The 1,300-nt window shown below is 41.2% G+C and overlaps 1 annotated feature.

Annotated features, from left to right (window-relative positions):
• Window positions 433-934: an enhancer, noted in NCBI's record as "NANOG hESC enhancer chr18:28395882-28396383 (GRCh37/hg19 assembly coordinates)". NCBI's record gives its function as "activates a minimal SCP1, AML or CMV promoter by ChIP-STARR-seq in naive H9 embryonic stem cells {active_cell/tissue: H9 hESC(naive)}" and the evidence as "EXISTENCE:reporter gene assay evidence [ECO:0000049][PMID:30033119]".

The raw sequence follows: 1,300 nt of genomic DNA, 5'->3' as shown, positions 1-1,300 counted from the left end.
TCTGGATTAGGAAGTGTTAGCTTTGTGGTCTCCTGGATTCTTCCACTTCAATACGCTAATGTTAAATATTTTCATGGCATACATAGTTGATTTTTTTGCATCTTCTGTAACTTTGAAAAGATAGAAACAAATTTGGGAGAGTATCTGTTTGTTCATTGCTCAGGTTTATAAGTGAGGTGCCTTTCTAAACAGCAGCATCCCAATACACCTACATGTGTTGTCATGAATCTTTGTTGCTGTTGTGATTAGTCAGAGCTGATTTATTGGGGGAAATTCAGCCAGATATCAAGTGAAATTTTCCCCTGATATTTAACGTAGGTTCTTTTCTATTTTCCCTAAGTGTCGGCTGGTCTGAGAAATAAAGGGACAGAGTACAAAAAACAGAAATTTTAAAGCTGGGTTTCTGGGGGAAACATCACATGTCGGCAGGTTCCATGAAGCCCCCTGAGCTGCAAAACCAGCAAGTTTTTATTAGTGATTTTCAAAAGGGGAGGGAATGTACAAATAGGGTGTGGGTCACAGAGATCACGTGCTTCACAAGGGAATAGAATATCACAAGGCAAATGGAGGCAGGGCAAGATCACAGGACCACAGGACCGGGGCGAATTTAAAATTGCTAATGAAGTTTCAGGCACACATTGTCATTGATAACATCTTATCAGGAGACAGGGTTTGAGAGCAGACAACTGGTCTGACCAAAAATTTATTAGGCAGGAATTTCCTCATCCTAATAAGCCTGGGAGCACTATGGGAGACTGGGGCTTATTTCATCCCTACAGCTCAACCATAAAAGACGGCCGCCCCCCGAAGCGGCCATTTTAGAGGCCTACCCTCAGGGACGCATTCTCTTTCTCAGGGATGTTCCTTGCTGAGAAAAAGAATTCAGCGATATTTCTCCCATTTGCTTTTGAAAGAAGAGAAATATGGCTCTGTTCCACCCAGCTCACCGGCGGTCAGAGTTAAAGGTTATCTCTCTTGTTCCCTGAACATTGCTGTTATCCTGTCCTTTTTTCAAGGTGCCCAGATTTCATATTGTTCACACACACATGCTCTACAATTTATGCAGTTAACACAATCATCACAGGGTCCTGAGGCGACATACATCCTCCTCAGCTTACGAGATGACAGGATTAAGAGATTAAAGTAAAGACAGGCATAGGAAATCACAAGGGTATTGATTGGGGAAGTGATAAGTGTCCATGAAATCTTCACAATATATGTTCAGAGATTGCAGTAAAGACAGGCATAAGAAATTATAAAAGTATTAATTTGGGGAACTAATAAATGTCCATGAAATCTT

The sequence above is a fragment of the Homo sapiens genome, chromosome 18 (genome assembly GCF_000001405.40).
Source record: "Homo sapiens chromosome 18, GRCh38.p14 Primary Assembly".
In the NCBI taxonomy this organism is placed as follows: Eukaryota; Metazoa; Chordata; class Mammalia; order Primates; family Hominidae; genus Homo; species Homo sapiens.
Note: the sequence above shows the minus strand (reverse complement) of the source record. Positions and strands in the feature narration are given on the sequence as shown.